This window comes from Homo sapiens, chromosome 1 (genome assembly GCF_000001405.40).
Source record: "Homo sapiens chromosome 1, GRCh38.p14 Primary Assembly".
Classification (NCBI taxonomy): domain Eukaryota; kingdom Metazoa; phylum Chordata; class Mammalia; order Primates; family Hominidae; genus Homo; species Homo sapiens.
Window position 1 is genome coordinate 89,006,452 of NC_000001.11, and position 22,801 is coordinate 89,029,252.

The 22,801-nt window shown below is 38.9% G+C and overlaps 1 protein-coding gene across 8 annotated transcripts, besides 1 other annotated feature; it reads right to left on the reverse strand.

Annotated features, from left to right (window-relative positions):
- Positions 1-228: 228 nt before the first annotated feature.
- GBP3 (guanylate binding protein 3) lies at positions 229-16,415 on the reverse strand. 8 transcript variants are annotated; one of them, NM_001319179.2, is made up of 12 exons: positions 16,233-16,415; positions 14,081-14,292; positions 13,675-13,760; positions 8,836-8,963; positions 8,096-8,205; positions 7,632-7,828; positions 6,734-6,976; positions 5,296-5,576; positions 4,453-4,665; positions 2,941-3,043; positions 2,496-2,689; positions 229-1,401 (listed from the first exon to the last, which is right to left on the reverse strand). In NM_001319179.2, the coding sequence occupies exons 4-12, from the start codon at positions 8,914-8,916 to the stop codon at positions 1,273-1,275; spliced, it is 1,551 nt and encodes a 516-aa protein (NP_001306108.1). In that variant the 5' UTR covers positions 8,917-8,963; positions 13,675-13,760; positions 14,081-14,292; positions 16,233-16,415; the 3' UTR covers positions 229-1,272. The 8 variants fall into 8 exon arrangements, 7 of the variants coding, with proteins under 7 accessions (NP_001306108.1, NP_001423773.1, NP_060754.2 ...); NM_001436844.1 differs by lacking the exon at positions 13,675-13,760 and having other exon boundaries at positions 5,377-5,576; NM_018284.3 differs by lacking the exon at positions 13,675-13,760.
- Positions 15,802-17,001: an enhancer, noted in NCBI's record as "CDK7 strongly-dependent group 2 enhancer chr1:89487936-89489135 (GRCh37/hg19 assembly coordinates)". NCBI's record gives its function as "activates an origin of replication core promoter dependent on BRD2, BRD4, P300/CBP, MED14 and CDK7 cofactors, with strong dependence on CDK7, by STARR-seq in HCT116 cells {active_cell/tissue: HCT116}" and the evidence as "EXISTENCE:reporter gene assay evidence [ECO:0000049][PMID:35650434]".

Consider the following 22,801-nt stretch of genomic DNA (forward strand, 5'->3'; position numbering starts at 1 on the left):
GTGTTATTGGCACATAGCCCCACCCATTTACTTATGTATTGTCTATGGCTGCATTTGTACTGTATGCAGAGTTTAGTAGTTGAGACAGTTGACCTGCAAAGCCATAAATAATCACTATCTGGTATTTTACAGAAAAGTTAGCCAACCACTGCTATAAAGACTCAAACCTTATTATTTGGTGAAAAACTAAAAAAAAAAAAATGGAAATAAAAAAACTAGTGAAACTTATTTTATTTCTAGTTTAGTTTATTTCTAGTTCAAAAATAATCTGTAATTGCTGTAAGAAATGTCAACCACTTACCTAGGATGTTTGACAATTGGGATGAAGTCTACATATACTAAGTAATGGCAAGACAATTATTTTATTGCTCAAAAGAAAGTCAAAAAAATTCCATATTCCCTTTGGGGAAAATTGGCAGGATTTCAAGTATGACCTTTAAGAATCAGGAAAAGACTAACTTATGCTTTAGGATTAAAACAATCAAATAATTAAATTAGTTCAATTTTCTAACATAGTCTCTATCTTCAGTTAAAGTGCATCATTGCATGTTATACATTACTAAAATTACACAGTGCATAATTGTTACCATGTGACTATTTAATTCAGGGTCAACTGTCTAAAGGTCTCAGGTGTCACATTAAGGTTATAATCTAGATGAATTGAACAAGAAAGAAAAGATTTCTTCATTAGCCAATTTGTTTATGATTCAATTCCTACTCTTGCTAATGATTTCTTTACCTTCCTATGGAAAATATAAGATTCTAGATCTCTGTATAAGATGGTTTGCTTTAGCTTGAGATCCATCAGTGAGAATTATCCATGGGCAATGTCCAGAAATCACATTATTGCTCATAGACCTTGTAGCCTTGATATAATGGAGAACTGTACACTGTCTTCCCTAGGAAGCTAGGATGGTTGTTTCTGATATTGGGACCCATTGTACACTTGGCCAAACCAGTGCCCAAATATGTCCCAAGATTTTTACCTAAGACTTTCCTCAGTATCCACTGGTCGTCTGGAAGAATAAACTTCTGAGTGGTGGCAACTCATGATCCCTCCTCTGTTGGTACAGAGGTAAATGCATCTTTGTTGCACAATTTACAATCTTTTTAAGGAAAAAACATGATTTTGATCATTGAACTGCATGTTCTTGTAAACTTTTAGTGTTATGATGCAAGATCTAATTATTATCAAATATAGTGACACTTGTTCCAAATTCTAAAATTGTTTCAGTTATGCCTTGGGTTAGGATGACAGAAAAGCTCTGTTGTTTAGATCTTTAGCTTATGCGACATATATCTCTTGGTTTTTTTTTTCAGGGTCTTCTGTAGCTTTTGTATCTCATTTTGAAGTTGGGTACTTTCACCTTGGCATCTCTCCTTTAGTACTCGGGCCTGTTCCTAAAAAGGGACAAATGGAGGCTAAATAAGTGTAGCATTAAGTAAATCTCTGTAAGCTATCTAGTTTCCACATGCATTGATTTATTTAGTACTTAGTTTTTTTCTTGAAATTTTCTCTACCCTTGATTTTAATTATAGTTTTTCTGGGCATTTGGGCTGTGTGATTATTTCTCCTGGGTTTTCTATAGCCAAAAGAGTTTCAGCGTATGCCTTCTGCTCTATTGATGAAGGTCTTGCTTTTTTCCCCCTATTAATTATACAAAACCTTTGTGGGAAATCTTAACAATATATTTGACTTCAAATCTTCCCTATGCATTATAGACTTTTTAACACACCTACCTACACACATATTATTATTATATACACATAATACAGAGATAAGTTACTCTCAAAATCTGATTAGGTATATGAATCTTAGATCAGGAAATTTGATCTAAGTCTCTACTCCCTGTTGGCAGGGGTAGCAGAAGATAGGCAAGGAAATCCGAGTGCCAGACTTACCATATAGAATTTCTGCACATAGCTCCCAACTCAACACAAACTGTGAGTAGGGCACAGAAAACAGGCAGGAGTGGTAGACTGCCCTACAGGTGTGAGGGTTAGGGAGTCCTTCTGCTCATAAAAGTTCTCTTAGAGCCAAAGTCATACTAGATGGGATAGAAAAAATATTACTATGGATTCCACTAAGTGATGAAGATGGGTCAGATATTTACTAGCTGTGTGACACTATAAAAGTTATTTAATATTTTCTGAACCTCTGTTTCCTCTCCTAAGTAATAGGGATAAAGTTCTCGCTTCATATGGTATTAAGCAAGAGATATAGATAAGGCATTTTTATGATGCCTAGCATATGACAGCCGTAAGTGGAAGGATACACTAAAACGGGACTGAATGTGACACCCTGCAAATAAACTTTTAGTGACCACATGTAGGCAGTGGCCATTTCAAGTCAGACAGACAGAAACAAGAAAGTACAAGTGAGCAAGCAAAATCCTTCCCCTGGGCTTTATGTTCGCTCTGCCATACTAAGTTTGTGATCAGGAAGAACAGAGAGAAAACAGAAAAACGAACCACAAGGTGATGCATTTGGATACCTGAAGTTTACTAGTGAGGGTCTTCTCTTGCTCTTCCAGCAACTGGGCCCTCTCCCTCTCCATCTTCTCAGTCAATTGTTTCACATGTTCTTGATAACTCTTCTCTTTCTCTTCCATCATCTGCTGATACTTTATTTGCATTTCCTCCACCATTTTTGCTGAAGCCTGTGCAGATTCAGCTTTTACACATTCCACTGTGGAGGAAGAAGAAACATTTGTGTGGAGTTATCTTGTTGCCTCATTCTTAGTTATACACTTACCCTCCATTGTTGCTGCTGACTGCATATGCCCTACTCAGAGATGACCTCAACAAGTAAGACATGTCTTGCTTTAGTTTATGGAACTTAGGTTTATCCAGTCAAATTATTTAAAATTTTAAAATTTGAAAAATTATTTAAAATTTGAAAAGCTTTAGGATAATCTGATCCTTTGACTTGCTCCTCACCTTCAATCTCCTTTTCCTTTTCTGTGAGAATCTGGTCTGTCTGTAGAATTGCATCGGTCACAGACTCCTTGGATTTCAAGTATGTCTGCAGAATCTCTTCAGCCTTAGGACCCAGAGAACACAGAGTGAGAAGTAGGAAATGGCTGTAAGCAGGTTTTCCTGTTCTTCTGCCCACCATCTTTTCTTCTGAGAATTCTTCCTCTTGGCCCTGGTGTGCCTGGTGGTCAAGATTCCCTATCACAGGGCCAGATACATGCTCCAAGCTGGCCAATCAGATGACCCTACTTAGCAGAGTCTTATTTAGGAGGATGATACAGATACTGGGAAATAAGATTCCCTGTCCTTTTCAAATTGAGGGCTCTAAATTTGATGCTGTGGTTCCATATGGGCTGAGCTGACTGGAGAATGAAGCCCTCCTTGAGAGAGCAAATCAGAGTGATTCAGATAGAGGGAGGAAGAGAGGGAGAGAACTGTGGGGATGCAGGGAGGATATCAGGCAGAGAGACAGATCATGACATTATTTGAAATCTTGGATCCAGATGTCCTTTAAATCCAGTTTGAAACCTAAAACGATGAATTACCATTTTTTTTAAGCAACCATCATTGGGTTTCTGTCTCTTGGAACAGAAAAAAATCCAGCTGTAATGATCATGACAACAACGTGGTGGTTAATCTGATAATTGAATTTATAACTCAATAGTTAATTGACTGCACTCTCTAATTAATTAACTAATTTTTTTTTTTTTTTTGAGACAGAGTCTTGCTCTATTGCCAGGCTGGAGTGCAGTGGCGTGATCTTGGCACACTGCAACCTCCGCCTCCTGGGTTCAAGTGATTCTCCTGCCTCAGCCTCCTGAGTAGCTGGAATTACAGGCGCCTGCCACCACGCTCAGCTAATTTTTGTATTTTTAGTAGAGACGGGGTTTCACCATGTTGGCCAGGATGGTCTTGATCTCCTGACCTTGTGATCTGCCTGCCTCAGCCTCCCAAAGTGCTGGGATTACAGGCGTGAGCCACTGCGCCCGGCCTAGTTAACTAGTATTTGAAAGACAGGGTCTGGCTCTGTTGCCCAGGCCAGAGTGCTGAGGTGCAATCTTGGCTCACTGAACCTCCCGGGCTCAAGCAATTCTCCTGCCTCAGCCTTCTGAGTAGCTGGGACTACAGGCATGTGCAACAGTGCCCAGCTAATTTTTATATTCTTACTAGAGACATGTTTCACCATGTTGCTCAGGCTGGTCTTAAACTCCTGAGCTCAAGCAATCTGCCTGCCTCTGCCCTCAAAGTGTTAGGATTACAGGCTTGAGCCACCGCACCCGCCGACTGCACTCTCTTTGATGAGCACCTGGGACATACCTGATATAACAGTCTCCCTCCCTGCATATGTTATTGAATGAAAGCATGAATGTTATACAGACAAAAAAGCACATCTGTGTGCAGTGAAGCTTGGTCACTTTGGTGTTCGTAGGAGGTAGGTCAGCAGGTTTCCATAATCGACAGATGAATCTTGGTTACCTGTATCCCCTTCCTTGGTTCCTCATAGTACTTTTTCTCCAGGTCTTGTAGCTTCTGAATAAAGAGACAATAGCCCCCTGGTTTCGAATAAATTCCCGCCTTCACTTCTTCTTCTAGAGGACTGAAAATGACCTGAAGTAAAGCTGAGCAACGATCTGATGATGCTTCTTGATTCTGTTTACAAAAGTCATCCCGCTTTTTGTCTAGCTGGGCCTTTAATGTAAAAATAGGAAGTAAAAAGAGTAACAGGGAAAGGATGTTAGCTTGACCTCAGAATTTTGGGAAAGACTTCCGAAAATAAACAGTCAATGATGCCGGAGAAACTGACAGACTCCTCAGCAGGACCACGCTCTTACTCCTGACCCCACTTTCTACTGAAATCGCTTTCTCTTTAGAGGTGAGGTTCAGGGCTGAGATTGACAGCTTTATGTCAACTGTTAGAGGAAAGCTCTGCTTTTGCATATTGGACTAATGATTTCATATGGAATAAATGTGGCTGAACAGAAGCCTGCTCAAGATAACTAAGATGAAAATTTTCTTTGCATTTGGCTAGAATATCAAATCAGTCTGAGAAGAGTGGGCATGTAATTTGATTAGAAGCCCTGATTGTCAGTTATATGAATTTAATAAAGGGAAGACCATTTATTGATAAGCAATGTTTTTAAACTTTGAGTCTGAAGTAATAAAATTGTTTTTGTCTGATTATTATGATTACCAAGAACTAGTTGTCACCATTTTAAAATCTAGAATAATTATTTGTCTCAAAATAAATACCAATTTCATTTCTTAGTAGTACTTTGCCTTCCAAAATCCAAATCCATGTAAATGTGATAGAAAAATTACCGCTAATTTCTTTTGAAACAGATGGTCCACATCCTTGAAAGAGTTCTTCATATAGACTTCAGTGGCCTCCCTCTCACTAACCCTGTGCAGGTCCAGCAGCTCCTGGAGGGTTTCTGCGGGCAGCTGCACCTTCTGGCCCATCTGCTGGTCATAGTGGGCAATAGCCTTTTGCACTGCGGCTGAGTTCTCTATCTGGGCCAAGGCCAGGACTGCGTTCTCCATGCAGGGCAGATCCCCTCTGCTGATAGCATTGATATAGGTCAGCACTAGGCTCTCTAGACCTACATACAAAGAAGAAATGATAATGTTTCTTGTACTAAAGAAAACTCTCTATTCTGTGTAATTCTGAACATGTCAATTTCCACCTATTTTCCTCACAGCATCAAGGTCCTCAGAATCATCTGGAAGCTTGCTGGAAATGCCTATTGTTAGCCTCTGTCCCAGATCTACTGAATTAGAGTTTTTTCTTTGGGTAAGATCCCTAGATGATATGTATGCATATCAACATTTGAGAATCCTTGTTCTAGATGACCTAGTCCTGTGTTAGTTGAATGTTTGCATCCATTTCAACCCCAAGCACCATCAGGAAAGGAACCCATAGCTATTCCATATATGACTGTATCCTCAGCTTATTCACAGTAGCATTTGATCAATACTTATGGAACAAATGATACTCTCCTAATCAAAAGGAGCCCTCCGTTTGGTTTATTTTAGCACAGCATTGTCCAAGAAAACTTTCTGTAATGGTGGAAGTGTTCTGTATGTGCTGTTCAGTATGCTAGCCACTAAGTACATGTAAATATAAGCCTTTGAAATATAGCCATGTGAATTGACCTTTAATTTTTCCTTATTTTAATTAATTTACATTTACATTTAGATAGCCCCACTTGTCTAGTGGCTACTGTACTGTACAGTGCAGGCCCAGTTTACTGTGGCAATTTTAAGTAATAAAACTTTTTTCCTTTGCTTTTCCTATCTTTTCCCACCAAGAAGGTTGACCAACAAAATCTATTAGAAATGTTGGTGTCATCTAGAATTTAGCACAAATGTAGCAGTAGATTGGGATTTTTCAATGCTGATACTAGGTGGAGTTATTCTATGCTCCTTTCATATTTTTTTTTTCCTCTGTCACCCAGGCTGGAGTGCAGTGGCGTGATCTCGTCTCACTGCAACCTCTGCCTCCCAGGTTCAAGCAATTCTCCTGCCTCAGCCTCCCAAGTAGCTGGGATTACAGGTATGTGCCACCATGCCTCATTTATTTTTGTATTTTTAGTAGAGACATGGTTTTGCCATGTGGGCTAGGTTGGTCTCAAACTCCTGGCCTCAAGTGATCTGCCCTCCTCGGCCTCCCAAAGTGCTGGGATTACAGGCATGAACCATCATGCCTGGCCATCCTTTAGTTTTAACAATGAGTGGAAGTACTACGAAGGGGACTTACGAGGCCCATTGACCTTGATGCCTCCTGAAAGAGTTTTAGTTTTGGAATTGCTAAAGATGTAGGAACAGAAGTCTGCTACTTGTTGCACAAATTCAGGGTCCAGCTCTTCATCTTGTAGTTTCTCAAGCTGGGCAAGCTTCCTGCGGTGAATGGGCAGATCGAAGACAAAACATTTTTTCTTTGGGAAGAACTTCCGGATACAGAGTCGGGGCAGATTAAAATTTTTATCTTTTTGACTGGTACCTAGAGAAACATAATAAAGAAATTTGCCTAATATAAGTGTTTCCGTAAAGCGTCAAATAGTAAATATTTTAGGCTCTGCAGGCTAGGTGGTCTCTTTTCCAAGTACTCAACTTTGTTATTGGAGCATGACAACAGCTTTAGACAATATGTAAATGAATGGGCATAGCATTCTTCCCAAAAAACCTCACTTAGAAAGACAGCTGGCAGGCAGAATTGGCCATCATTTGTCTTAGGCTGCAGTTCGCCAGCATTTGGACTAGTACACTGTTCATGTTCAATCTATGTTCTTTAAGTAAATATCCATTGTCCTTCATATTTTACAGGTAAATACAGAATCACGAACCCTACATAAGGAGATAAAATTTACCTAAATTGTAAAATAGGAAAAAATGAAAGAAAAAGAAACTTATTTTAGAACACAGGAGAATATAATTTAAAATCTAATCTATTAATTTAGATATTCAGCAAGCATTCATTCCTTTTTTCCTTTTTTCAAAAAACCTTTTCTATTGCTAATAGCAAGCATTAATTCTTAAGAATAGCAAGCTAGAGATATAGAAAACTGTAAATGTGAGAAAACTATCAATAGTAAACTAAAAAATGATAATTTCTAGTGTTTTGTCGTCCTCATTTATCAATGGTACGTCTCTGTTACCTTGCGTTAGCTTCAGGGAATACTCCAGGTACTCATCTGGTGTGAGGGGTTGTCCATCTGCTTCCAAGTCCAGGGAGAAATCTCTCAGTGTCCACACAAAATCTGGGAAGAAGCTCACAAAGTCAGCTGAATCCTCATTCTCATTCTCATCAGGTGAGGATTTTGATCGGATTCGATGTGTCAGCTCTGTCACATAGCTGAGTAGCTAACTAAGGAAATGTGACAAAATGAACAGGAACCTCATCCCATATTAGTTCAACACATTCCCAAACCTTCCATTTTCCTTTGATCCTAACCTAAGTGTCAATTCTAAAGTGGATACATGGGATCTCTCCTCTGTACTTGCATTATTTTTTGTTTTCTCCTTTTGAGCTTGATTCATCAGGATTCACAGTCAGGCAGCTGGTTTATGAATACAGGTGTCCCCTCTGACCTTGGTGCTGTTCTGGGTCACAAAAGGATACTACAGTTGGTCCATAGCCTGCTGGTTGATGGTTCCCATGCTATTGTACACGAGAGTGCTGCTCAGGAGGACGGCCAGGGTGAAGATCCAGGAGTCATTCTGGTTGTCACCCTGGAAGTCAAGACACACTGGAGTCAGGAGCAAGTTTCATCATCACAGCACTTTCCAGAGTGACAGTAGTAAAAGTATATCATAAGTTAGAGTTTTCTTTTAAGACTAATGACCTATGAAAAGAACCCAAATCCAAACAAAATGATTGTTACTCAGCTGTGGAATGTGTATAGTTTTTTGATTAGTGTTTTTTGGTATACACTGATTCTCACCAGGTCCTCTTATGATCATTGGCAGACAATTGCAAAATAAACATTCAAGGTTAATGGGCATTCTAAGGCCTGAAGTATAATTTAAACTTGCTCAGGCTACTGAATTATAAGTTCTTTGCAGGATAGGACTCGTGACATTGGATTTATTTGTGCTCCCTTTATGCATCTGTGTTAACTCACATAGCTTACAACCTATGGTTAGTAGAATACTGTGTGTTGACCACCATGCTTTGCTAGGATTCTGTCTTATGAATATTTTTCTCACTTCTGGTTGCTAAGTTTGGCCTTATGACATGTACACAGAAATGAAAAGACAAATTATAGTTAAATGCAAACTCTTCTTTAAGAAAAAACTAAATGGTGCTTAAAATATTCAGAGATGAGGGGCTTATTTCAAAATTGAATCTTTGACCCTTACCTTCTTTACATCTCCCAGGCCCTCAGTGTCAAGCAGGACTAAGGTGTGTTCTGGCTTTTTGGGGTGAGGCACACACCACATCCAGATTCCTTTGGTGTGAGATTTCACTGTGGAGCCCAGAGAGAAGCCTGTAAAGGAGAGATGGGATAAGAAGGGCTGGAGGTTTAATAGCAGGTACTTCAGGAAATTGAGGCAAATGTAGCATCATGATTAATGTTAAGAGAGATAACCAAAACCACAATCAGTACTTACGTTACTTATAATCAGAAAAATAGAAAAATTTGAATATCCAGTACATAAATGGATTCAGGACCTTTCATGATAAAAACAATCAACAAATTAGAAATAGAAAAAAACTGAGGAAGGAGAATCACTTGAACCCAGGAGGCGGAGGTTGCAGTGAGCTGAGATAGCACCACTGCACTCCAGCCTGGGCAACAGAGCGAGACTCTTGTCTTAAAAAAAAAAAAAAAAAAAAAAGAGGGATAGAGAAACAGAAAAAAATTACCTCAACAAAACAAAGGACATACATGAAAAATCCACAGCCTGCTTCATACTCAATGGTGAAGACTGAAAATTTTCCTCTAATATGGGAACAAGGAAAAGATGCCCACTTTTGCCACTTCTTTTCCACAAAGTACTAGAGGTCCTATCCAGAGTAATTAGGTGAGAAAAGGAAACAGAAAGCATCTAAATTGGAAAGGAAGATGTAAAATAATCTCTATTTACTGATGATATGATCTCTGCAGAAAACTTTAAATATTACACAGAACTGTTAGAACTAATAAAAAGAATTCAGCAAAGTTGCAGCATACAAAATTAACATGCAGAAATCTGTTGCATTTGTATACAGTAGCAAAGAACAATCCACAAAGGAAATTTTGAAAGCAATCCCATTTAACATACCACCAAAAGGGCAAACTACTTCAGAATAAAATTGGCCAGGCACAGTGGCTCACGCCTGTAATCCCAGCACTTTGGGAGGCTGAGGCAGGTGATCACAAGGTCAGCAGATCGAGACCATCTGGCCAATGTGGTGAAACCCTGTCTCTACTAAAACTACACACACACACACACACAAAATTAGCTGGGTGTGGTGGCGGGCACCTGTAATCCCAGCTACTCGGGTGGCTGAGGCATGAGAATTGCCTGAACCCAGGAGGTGGAGGTTGCAGTGAGCCGAGATTGTGCCACTGCACTCCAGGCTGGTGACACAGCAAGACTGTCACAAAACAAACAAACAAAAAACCCAAAAAACGTAACCATAGAGGGGAATGACTTGTATAATGAAAATTACAAAATTTTTTTTTTTTGGAGACAGAGTCTCACGGTGTCATCCAGGCTAGACTGTGATCACTGATCACTGTAGTCTTGACCTCCCAGGCTCAAGCAATACTCCCACCTCAGCCTCCCGAGTAGCTGAGACTACAGGCACGTGACACCAGGCCTGTCTAATTTTTGTATATTTTGTAGAGATGGGGTTTCCCCGTGTTGTCCAAGTTGGTCTCAAATTCTTGAGCTCAAGTGATCTGCTGGCCTCAGCTTCTCAAAGTGCTGGGATTACAGGTGTGAACCACTGTGCTTGGCCAAACATTCTTAAAAGAAATTAAGGAAGAGTTAAATAATTAGAAAGACATCCTGTAAAAGTGACATACAGATTCAATGCAATCCCTATCAAAATTCCAATGATTTTTTTATAAATAAAAACATCAAAAATATCCACACTAACTTTCATATGAAATTTCAAGAGATCCCCAAATTGTCAAAATAATCTCAAAAAGGAAGAAGAAAGTCAGAGGCTCACAGTTTCTGAGTTCTGAAACTTACTACAAAATCAGGATAATCAACACAGTTTGGTATTGGCTTAAACACTGTTATCAACTAATGGAGTAAAGTAGAGAGCCTAGAAATGAACTCTCACATCTATAGTCAAAAAATTTTCAACATGGATGCTAAAATCATTCAACGCAGAAAGAGGAGTCTCTACAACAAATGACATTGGGAAAACTGGATATTCACATGCTCACATGCCAAAAAAAAAAAAAAAGTTGGACTGTTAGCTTACACAATCCAAAACGTAACTCAAAATGGATCAAAGAACTAACCATTAGAGCTAAAACTATAAAACTCATGGGAGAAAACAAAGGGGAAAAACAGACAGTAAAAGGAAAAACAGATAACTTTGACTTCATCAAAATGAAAAACTTTTGTGCATCAAATGACACTATCAACAGAATAAAAAGGCAACACATGGAATGGAAGAAAACATTTGCTAAACGTGTATCTGATAAGGAATTGATGTCTAGCAAATATAAAGAATTCCTACAATGCAACACAAACAGATTAAAAAGTAAAGAAAGAACTTGAATAGACATTTCTCTAAAGAATGGCCAATAAGCACCTGAAAAGATGCTCAACATTACTAGTCATTAGGAAAATGCAAATTAAAGCCATAGTGAGATACTACTTCACATCCATTAGTATGGTGACTATCAAAAAAAATTGAAAAGGGCTGGGTGCAGTGGCTCAAGCCTGAAATCCCAGCACTTTGGGAGGCTGAGGCAGGTGGATCACCTGAGGTCAGGAGTTTGAGACCGGCCTGGCAAATATGGAGAAACCCCATTTACACTAAAAATACAAAACTGAGCCATGCATGGTGGCAGGTGCCTGTAATCTCACCTACTTGGGAGGCTGAGGTAGGAGAATCGCTTGAACCCGGGAGGTGGAGGTTGCAGTGAGCTGGGGTCGTGCCACTGCACTCCAGCCTGGGTGACAGAGTGAGACTGTGTCTCAAAAAAAAAAAAAATTAAAATAACTGTAGGGAGACCCCGTGAAACTATTGCTATGGAATAAAAGATGAAATGCTCCTGATTATTGTAAATACAAAATTGCATGCAGGATTGTGCAAAGACAGTGCCAGGTTGGACTGCCAGAATGAGCCAACGGGACGTGATGTGCTTCCCCCTGCAGAGAGCCTATGAATGGATGTGCAGTCAGGGAGGTTTCACATCACCAAGATTCCTATCCCAGAAAAGCAGATGTTCATAGCTCTGGGAATGGAATGAGACCCTTGTGGAGAGAGGGGGCACCTGTCCATGTGGATAAGATAGGGCCATAAACGCATTCATCTTGCCATGGCTCTTCTAGGCCTCTTTAGGGTTAAGGCATACTCCCTTCTGAGAATTTCTGGTCTAACCGGTTGTCTAGCTTCACGTCTTGTTTCTATGGATTGTTTGTAACCAGCTTTTGCTGCAACTGTTACTGCTGATTAATATCTTGCTAATCATAGGTTATGAAAGACTGCATTTCTGTTTTAAGGCTCTGTTAGAAATTACTGATGCACACACTATATTGTAAATTCTTATCTCTGTATACTGTACTTCTGCATACAGATGTTATGTTAAAGAATTACTTCATCCCCATGTGACCATCTCACCTCATAATCAAACGACCCTAAATCCCTCACTAACCTTCCCCCACCCTCACTAAACTTAATAATAAATGCTGGCATATCCAGTGCATTGGCAGCACCACGGGACCAGAAGGCTGTGACCCCCCTGGACCCAGCTTTCACTATCTTGTGTGTATCTATTATTTCTCGACCTGCCGGTCTGCCTGGGAACAAAGAGAGAGCCCCGTTGCATTGCAGGCTGCTGGCCAGATCCCGCAATAAATAACAAATGTTGGTGAATATGAAGAGAAATTAGAACCCTTGTGCATTTCTGTTGGGAATGCTAAATGGTGCAGTCACTGTGGAAAATGATACAGCAATTCCTTAAAAAATTTAACATGGAATGACTATATGAGCCATCAGTTCCACTTCTGGGTGTATACTGAAAAGGAGTGAAAGCAGGGACTCGAACAGATATTCAGACACCCATGATCCTATCAGCATTATTTGTAATAGCCAAAAGGTGTAAGCAACCCAAGTGTCAACTGACAAGCGAACAGATAAATTAGTATACACATATAATTACTTAGCCTTGAAAAGGAAGAATTTTTTATTTCTTTATTTATTTTTGAGATGGAGTTTCGCTCTATGCCCAGGCTGGAGTGCAAAGGCACGATCTTGGCTCACCGCAACCTCTGTTTCCCAGATTCAAGTGATTCTCCTGCCCCAGCCTCCTGAGTAGCTGGGATTACAGGCATGTGCCACCATGCCCAGCTAATTTTGTATTTTTAGTAAAGACGGGGTTTCTCCATGTTGGTCAGGCTAGTCTTGAACTCCCGACCTCAGGTGATCTGCCTGCATTGGCCTCCCAAAGTGCTGGGATTACAGCCATGAGTGCCCAGCCAAAAAGGAAAAATTTTGACACATGCTACCACACTGAACCTTGAAGACATTATGTGAATTAGAATAAGCCAGTCACCAAAGGACAAATATTGAATGACTCCACTTATATAACATTCCTAGAGTAGTCAAATTAATAGAGATGGAATGTAGAATTGTGGCAGGAGATGGGTGTAGGTGGGGCTTTTGTTTAATTGGCACAGAGTTTCTTTTGGGGAAGATTAAAAAGTTCTGGAAATAGATGGTAGTGATGGTTGCACAACAATTTGAATTTAATTAATACCACAGAACTACATACTTAATAATGGTTACAAGGATAAATTTTATGTTTATATATTTTTTAAAACAATAAACAAGAAAATCCAATACAGACTGAAACATTTTTTCAACCTTAAAGATCAGTGTAAACTTGCTGTTACTATGTGAACATGGGCAGGCGATCTCTTGAGCCCAGGAGCTTGAGACCTGCATGGGCAACATGATGAAACCCTGTGTCTACCAAAAATACAAAATTAGCTGGGTGTGGTGGCATGCATCTGTAGTCCTACCTACTCAGGAGGCTGAGGTGAGAGGATTGCTTGAGCCCAGGAAGTCAAGACTGTGGTGAGCTGAGATCTTGCCACTGTACTCCAGCCTGGGGAAAGAGCAAGACCTTGTCTCAAGAAAAAAAAAGACTAGTCAAGTGCAGTCAGTAGTGAGAAGGGTGAGGAGAAAGAGTAGAACAAGGAGTTCAACTGTAACTCATGGTGAACAGTCAATTGAGATAACTCACTACCCTCAGAACAGCTGTGAGCTGATGCTTATCCCCTAGAAGAGTGAAGATAAGGAGCCCAACTGTGAATGGAAAGTTAGCTTATTCCCAGTGCCAGCTTTCTCTCCTCACATCCTCATAATGGATGCTGACTGTGTTGGGGGACAGAAGGGACTTGGCAGAGCTTTGCTCATGCCACTCACCCTTATTCTTCCCAGCTAGCTTGTTCATCAGGTAGGATTTTCCTGTGCGGTAGAGGCCCACAATTGCCACCACCACCACAGGCTGTGTAATGGCAGACAGGATTTTCAGAGCTTCTGGATTCGCCACCAGTTCCCCATTAGTGTTCTCAATGAGGCACATTGGGCCTGTCATGTGGATCTCTGGAGCCATGTCCAGGGCATTGTTCTCTTGTCTGCAAGGGAAGAGTTGGAATGAATTAGAATTTCCAGTCTTTTGCATTTAGAGGATAGAGTCACAGAATTCCCCAGGATGGCCAAAAGTTTTGTGTGTGTCAGTGAGAGAGATGAGGGAAAATGTGTATCATTTTAAAAAATTATGGAAGTATTATCATCAAATTAAATATTGGTATGACAGTAACTTATCAACAGTCAACTACTCTTGCAACCTAGAACTTTCATTTAATTTATTATGGAAAAGCTTCCCTTGGATTCTCATTAAAAAATTTACACTAGACAATAAATGGAAGATAAAATAGGATATAGAGAATTTTTTTTACATCCTGGCTATATGTAAGAAATTAAATATTGATTTGTTTATTCATGAATTCTTATGATGAATAAAGACCCCCATGAGTAAATGTTTCATTGTTTGACATATGCCCTTAGGACAATTTCCAGAGATTTATAAATGTGTTCCTTCCTCCATTTTCAACTGGTTATGCTTATTTCACTGTAATGAGGATCCACAAAACTTCTCACAGTGCCATTCTGGAAGTGGAACCAATGTAACATACTTTTGCAAATTCTATACAACTACATAACCATGTGAAACACATGGCTAGGGACCTTTCCAAGGGCTTTGAAGGGGCACGTGCAAGAGAGGGGCCCTGAAACTTAAGCTTCATTAGCGTCATGATAAGGTAGCCTCTAACTCAGTGTGGGTATAAATGCAAAACTGCCAATACTGAATGTTGCTAAGAAACACGCATGCGCGCGCGCGCACACACACACACACACACACACACACACACACACCCCAAAAAAACCAAACCAAACAAACAACAGCAACAACAAAAAACCCCATGAAATAAGGACTGAAAGACCAGGAAGCACATAAAGAGAGCTACATGGGAAGATGTGAAAAGAAAATAAATTTCCAGCAATACAGCTTTAGGTTTTCTGTTTTGTTCTGTTTTTCCATTTTGTAGAGTAGGAGAAAGAGAAATGGGAAGAGGAGAAATAGAAGTGAGGAGGACGAGGAGAAAGGGCTGGAAAGATGAGAGAGAGAGAGAGAGAGAGAGAGAGAGAGAGAGAGAGAGAGAAAGTGCCAGCAAGGGAGATGTCAGACAAGGTGATGAGTGAAGCTAGTGTTTTGCCAAGGAATTCAGGGGAGGAGTTTTCAGAAGGTGGGATCTAAGTCGTCTGAGTGCGTGGGAGAGGTTAAAGTAAGCAAAGATACCGGCTTTAGTAGTGATGCATTACAGGAAATTCTCCTGTAAATTCTCCAGAGGAAAAACTAGGCCACCGCCCTCTCTCTCTCTCAAAAAAAAAAAAGAAGAAAAAAAAGGAGAGGAAGCTCTTTAGCCTGGATTATTTCTAGAGAAACAATCTGAAACAAAGTTCAAATGTGTAATAAAAAGTATACTGTTTTCATGAATGTTCCTCTTTGATGCTGGGTTTCAGTTTTTTCTTTGTCTATAACCGTGTCAGTGGGCTGCTAGTACTCTGCATTACCTTTGCTGTTCTTTCCTTCTGGTGAAAAGAACCCATTTGTAGCTCTTTCCATTTCTTAGCTGCATAGGAGCAGGATTCAGCAAGCTCCATCACTGACAATGGAAATGTAATCATGTCCCTAGTCAACACAGACAATGTCAACAAAGAGAAAGACTATCCTAGTGCATTTCAAACTCTCAGTTTAGTTGCTGTCTGCTGGTGCCTAATTCAACACAAGCACTGTAGTGGCACTTAGAGCCATGGTACTTCTGATAACACCATGATTTTATCTGACCTGTGTCTCACATCAGGCTCAGCTGCAGCCTAATTTGGTCCTGGTCATTTTTAAGAAAATGAACTGACTTATAAATTCCTTCCCATCCTTGCCACAACGTTATAGGCTCCACGTCCCTGAGCTGAGGTACTTCAGAGCTGGAGAGGAAGCAATAGGAGTTCTTACCTGTGCTTTTATCTTCAGTCCAGGTAAAGTTGTTTCTGTCACTTCTCTTTTCTTTCGCTGGATCGCTGGACTTTTATTTCACCCCTTCAGTGTTGTGTAGCTTTCTGGATTTTCCTCAGTGATCAAATAATTAGAAGTTAAGCAACCTTTGTAATGGCTTCAGAGCCTAATGAAACTGAAAGTACTTCTTTCAAGGAAGTGACTCAGTAACCATAAATGCAATTTCTGGATTCTGCTAGTAGGAGGGTTTAAAGTCAAGTTTCAAAGTTTTTTTGTTGGAAGAGATCTTAGAGACCATTTATTGTTTTAAAAACATGTCCATTAGGTATTGAAAAAAATGGAATATATTTTAAGATTGGAGATCTGTTTGAGAATTGTAGAATTAGGAGGCATCACATTAATTCTTAGATATAATTTCCTATAACAGGAGACAATTCACAATGGAGCTGCCTATTCTTTTAGAGGTGCAGTAGGTGAGGAAAGAGCATGTTTTACACACTCATGAACACCTAGTCCCTGGCACTTAATGCCCAGCACACAGTCAGGAGGGGGCTCCATGCATTGTACTCAAGTTCCAGGCTCAGTGCTGACTGCTTTACATGAATTACACTACTTAAATCTCATAACAAGTATTTCCCTATGATTTTATAGAAACCAAGGCACAGAAAGACTTTATCAGTTGTCTAAACTCATAGCACTATAACTAATCTGAACCCAGGGATTCCTGATCCCAAACTCTCTTCTTGAACCACCTTACTGTGCTGCCTCTGTTTGGTGAGTGAATAATTGTAAAAATATTTAATTTATAGATGTTTTTCCTCTTTTTATTTAGTATATTATAATTTGATTTTTCATAAATTGTTTTCTAAGAGCGTCATATGTTATGTATCTATTTCATTCATGACTACTTACATGCAGAATAGGTGGTATTAACTCTATTTTACAGTAAAAACAAATTGTAAAAAACCCTTGTGAGCATTTATTTGTTAATTTAGTTACACACACATAAAAAATTATACATTATGTATATATGAAATGAAATATATTGTTCTATCTTACTCATATTTTATAAAATAGTTTTATTCAAACTCTTCCTATTCTTCCTGAACACTGTAGCTTCATCATTATTAAAACTACTTTAGAGTATTTTTTTTTTTTTTTTGAGACGGAGTCTCACTCTGTCCCCTAGGCTGAAGGCTGGAGTGCAGTGTTGCAATCTTGGCTCACTGCAGCCTCTGCCTCCAGGGTTCCAGTGATTCTCCTGCCTCAGCCTCCCAGGTAGCGGGGATTACAGGCACATGCCACCAGGCCTGGCTAGTTTTTGTGTTTTTTAGTAGAGATGGGGTTTTATCATGTTGGCCAGGCTGGTGTCACACTCCTGACCTCAAGTGATCCACCCACCTCAGCCTCCGAAAGTGTTGGGATTACAGGCATGGGCCACTACGCCTGGTCAAAATCTTTTAACCTATTTTTTCAGAGTATATCATTGTTACTTTTGTCATAATCATTTGAACCATTTAAAATCTCTGCAAATTGTTGTAAAAACATATATCAAACAACAAAACATCTATTCAAGAAGACCCCTACAATTATGGTAGCAATAGCAAGAGTCGATGGTACTTGTTCCACAACCTGCTTCTTCCCCATCTTCAATTCAGATTGTCAAACGTTCCACTACAGCTGGGTATGGCCAAGAAGCCTGTTTTCCCTCTTCTTTCATCTTCCAGTCAGGGATAAAATATCCCATTAGGAGGGGCAGTCTATGAGCATTTCTCATTCCGTCCAACACCAAGTTGTAGAAACTAAATTCCTGGTGAGTGTGACCAGAAGTCAAGGGCTTTCAACCTCCCCTGCCCCATTCATACAGTGGAAGGTCTAACCCAGGCTTGTCAGCCTAAGAACACGGGATCTCTTCACTGTGGTTCATGTGTAGAGTGGAGTTTCCATGCTGAGAGAGACAAGCAAAGAAGACCAGAGGCTCCCACCCCTGTCCAGTGGAAGGGGCCATGGCTCAGAGGTTTTGCCCAGGAAAAGAGGCCATCCATAAAATCAAAGGGCTTGAAAGCTATTCCCCAAAATACCGACTTTGGTTGAAACAACATGTGGAAAAATTCAAGCATAGAAACTTGAAGAAAATTATTGCTAGCTGATCTACTCTATGAGCAATACTAAAAGCTGATTTCAAGCAGAAAGCAAGTGACCTTTTCAAATGGTAATACAAATCCACCTGGACAAATAGTAAGGGAGTTATGTAATTATAAAAGACAGCATAAATGTATATTTTTTCCTTTCTCCTTGTAACTTATTTTAAAAAATAAGTATTTTATTGTATAAAAGAGTATGTATATAAGTGTATTTCAAGGCCTATAACATATAGAAATGTATTACACTTAACAAGAATGACACAAGGGGAAAAGGTGGGAGCAAAGGTATATTGGAATGAAGAAACAATAGCAGATGTTAATTTGAACCTCTAGAAATAAGGAGAACTTGTAAGTAAGAAAATAAAAATGAAAAGCTCTATAAATGTATACCTTTTTCTTCTGCTTCCTTAAAAGACATAAAATACTATGAATTAGTAATCATAACAGTGTATTATTGAGTTTGTAACATATATAGATGTAATATATGTAATAATAATAGCACCAAAAGAGGGAAGAGCCAATAGTTATAGAGTTATTAGTATAATAATTCAGTATCTCACAGGAATTAATTTGGCATAAATTTCAGGCATCCTTTGGTGAGTTATGTATATGATAATGCCTAGAACAATTACTAAGAAAATAATGGGTCTCAAATCAATAACCTAGTCTTTTACATTGAGACACTGGTAAAAAACCAAACTAAATCTGAAGCAAGCAGAAAGAAGAAAATGAAAAGTTTTGGAAATTAACAGAGTAGAAACCAATGAAATAAAGAATAGAAGAAAAAAGTAGAGAAAGTCAATAAAACCAAAAGCTGTTTTTAGAAAAGATCAACAAAATTGACAAAGCTTTTAGTTAGACTGGCCAAAATGAAACAAAACAAAACAAAACAATCCTGAAAAACAGCAGAAGACTCAAATAACTAAAATTGAGAAGGAAACAGGAGGCATCACTACTGACTTTACAGAAATAAAAAAGATTGTAAGTAATACTATGAACAACAGTATGTCCACAAATTAAATTATACAAAATAGGTAAATTCCTAGAAAGACACAAACTACCAAAACTATCTCAAGAAGAAATAGATCATCGAGTAAAAGTAACAAGTAAAGAGATTGAATTATGTATTCATCGATTTTCATGCTGCTATGATAAAATACCTGAGACTGGGTAATTTGTAAAGAAAAGAGGTTTAATTGACTCAGAGTTCTGCATGGCTGGGGAGGCCTCAGGAAACTTACAATCACGGCATAAGGCGGGAGAGAGAATGAGAGCAGAGCAAATGGGGAAGCCCCTTATGAAACCATCAGATCTTATGAGAACTCACTCACTGTCATGAGAACAGCATGGAAGCAACTACCCTGTGATTCAATGATCTCCACCTGGTCCTGCCCTTAACACTTGGGGATTATTACAATTTAAGGTGAGATTTGGGGGGGGACACAGAGCCAAACCATATCAATTATTAATCATAAAACTACCACAAGAAAAGCATAACCCCAAATGACTTCACTGGCTACTTCTACTAAACAGGTAAAGAATAATTTATACAAGTTTCTTACAACCTTGACCAAAAATAGAAGAGCACAATTTCCCATTCAGTTTGAGGCAATATTACAATGCTATGAAACCCAAAGACATCATAATTAAAGTGTAGACCACTACGTTTTATGAAAAAGGATGCAAAAATCCTCAATAAAATACTAGCAAACCAAATCCCACAAAAGTATACCAAACTTATATGAAGTGGGATTTATCCCATGAAAGCAAGTATGGTTTAACATGTGAAAATCAATTAATATAAAACACCATGTCAACAGAATGAAGGACAAAAACCATATAATCATCTCAATATACACAGGAAAAGCATTTGATAAAATTTGATACCGCTTCCTGATAAACACAGTCAACACACTGAGAACAAAAGGGAACATTCTCAACTTTATAATGTCCTATGAAGTTTTATTTTGATATAATTTTAGACTTCAGAAAAGTGGCAAAATAGTACAAAGTTTCTGTACAGTCTTCCCCTCAGTTCCCCATATGTTATCATTTTAAATTTATTTTCTTTCTGTCTGAACTATTCAAGGGTTAGTGACAGACATAATGGCTTTTTATACCTAAAAACTTCAGTGTGTGTTTCTTAAAAAAGAGAAATTATTTTACAGAGCCACAGTATATTTGTGTAAAGTCCTTCTTAGGCCATAGACTTTTTTTCTAGTTTTTTATTTATTTATTTTTTTATACTTCAACTCTTAAGTTCAGGGGTACATGTGCAGGATGTGCAGGTTTGTTACACAGGTAAATGTGTGCCATGGTGGTTTGCTGCACAGATCATCCCATCACCTAGGTATTAAGCCCAGCATACCTTAGCTACTCTTCGTAATGCTGTCCCTTCCCAAAATCCCACCCCAACAGGCCCCAGTGTGTATGTTCCTCACCATGTGTCCATGTGTTCTCATTATTCAGCTCCCACTTATAAGTGAGAACACAGGGTGTTTGGTTTTGTGTTTCTGTGTTAGTTTGCTGAGGATAATGGCTTCCAACTTCCATCTCCATCCATGACCCTGCAAAGGACATGATCTCGTTCCTTTTTATGGCTGCATAGTTAACAGCTGGAATTCTGTGTCTCCTTCTTGGAGGGAAAACAATATGTAACAGACTCTTTAGACCTGTTCTTGCAAGTGTAACATGGATATGTGTCCTTAAGAAGCAAATATTAGTAGTTAATATCTGAATTTCTCTGCCCATCTACTTTACTGGGAAATGATAGAAGGTTGATTCAGGATTGGTGGAATCCTTTGGTGTCATTCTTGAAGCTCTTTAAGGTGAGGGACTGGAGCACTCGGTGTTGGGACTACCTACTCGTGCATTTGTCCCTGAGATAATAAACACTATTCACAAATTTTAAAATGTTCAAACTATTATGAGATCTTGGTTGGCATATCCCAGAACTAAAAGTCTGCATATGGTGTTTAGTTGGTAAATAATATTTACAAGAACAGATTTATTTACAAGGCATGGTTTTCCAACTGAGTGAATATAGAAGAACTCTCAAAATATGTTAAAGACTCCACGGAGCATATGAAGGCTTGAGTTTTTTTAATTCAATGTAAATCAAATAAAAGCACTTACCAAAGTGTTGAAGAACATTTGTTATCATTTTGAATGAATAGTGGCAATTATTGTATTTTAATTGAGGCTTGGTCTACATGAGGTTATGATTGAAAGTGACATTCCTGGAATAATGGATATTTCATGAGAATCATGAAACTATTTGCTGAATTTGATTCATTTTTACATGACTATCTGGAAAAAAGCCAAAATCAAAAAAAGACAAATGTGTCATCTGTATTCAAAATAGAGTAGAATGAATTAATCAAAACAAAAAATATAAAAATATTTGGAAAAAAACCAGACCCCCAAATACTAGTCCAGTATTGTAAGTTTTTCATGAGATTGGACAAATACTAATCAATTAACGATTATTATGAGTTGAAGGTATTATAGAAAACCCTGAAAGTTTGTAAATGTTTTCATTTCTTGCCACCTGAAAACAATCTTTCTGTGAGAAAGTGGAATATACTCGTTCTGGATGTTTGCAACATTCTATTGGACAGTATTTGTGGACAGTAGTATAACTATATCATATGACAATATAGCTATTATGAAAAGTAAAGATAAAGGATTGCATGCACTTTTTAAATTATACTTTAAGTTAGAGGGTACATGTGCACAATGTGCAGGTTTGTTACATAGGTATACATGTGCCATGTTGGTTTGCTGCACCCATTAACTTGTCATTTACATTAGGTGTTTCTCCTAATGCTTTCCCTCCCCCTGCCCCCCACCCCACGACAGGCCCTGGTGTGTAATGTTCCCCACCCCATGTCCCAGTGTTCTCACTGTTCAATTCCCACCTATGAGTGAGAAAATGCAGTGTTAGATTTTCTGTCCTTGTGATAGTTTGCTTAGAATGATGGTTTCCAGCTTCATCCATATCCCTGCAAAGGACATGAACTCATCCTTTTTTATGGCTGCAAAGTATTCCATGGTGTATATGTGCCACATTTTCATAATCCAGTCTATCATAGATGGACATTTTGGTTGGTTCCAAGTCTTTGCTATTGTGAATAGTGCCGCAATAAACACATATGTGCATGTGTCTTTATAGTAGCATGATTTATAATCCTTTAGGTATATACCCAGTAAGGGGATGGCTGGGTCAAATGGTATTTCTAGTTCTAGATCCTTGAGGAATCACCATACTGTCTTCCACAATGGTTTATCTAGTTTACACTCCCACCAACAGTGTAAAAGCATTCCTATTTCTCCAATCCTCTCCAGCAACTGCTGTTTCCTGACTTTTTAGTGAACGCCTTTCTAACTGGTGTGAGATGGTATCTCATTGTGGTTTTGATTTGC

Coding starts and splice junctions, on each gene's coding strand:
- GBP3 (NM_018284.3), bottom strand. CDS start 14,270: ATGGCTCCAGAGATCCACATGACAGGCCCAATGTGCCTCATTGAGAAC. Junction 8,206..8,835: donor GCCTGGGAGATGTAAAGAAG/GTAAGGGTCAAA, acceptor CTTGACTTCCAG/GGTGACAACCAGAATGACTC. Junction 1,402..2,495: donor CCCTCACTAGTAAACTTCAG/GTATCCAAATGC, acceptor GTCCCTTTTTAG/GAACAGGCCCGAGTACTAAA.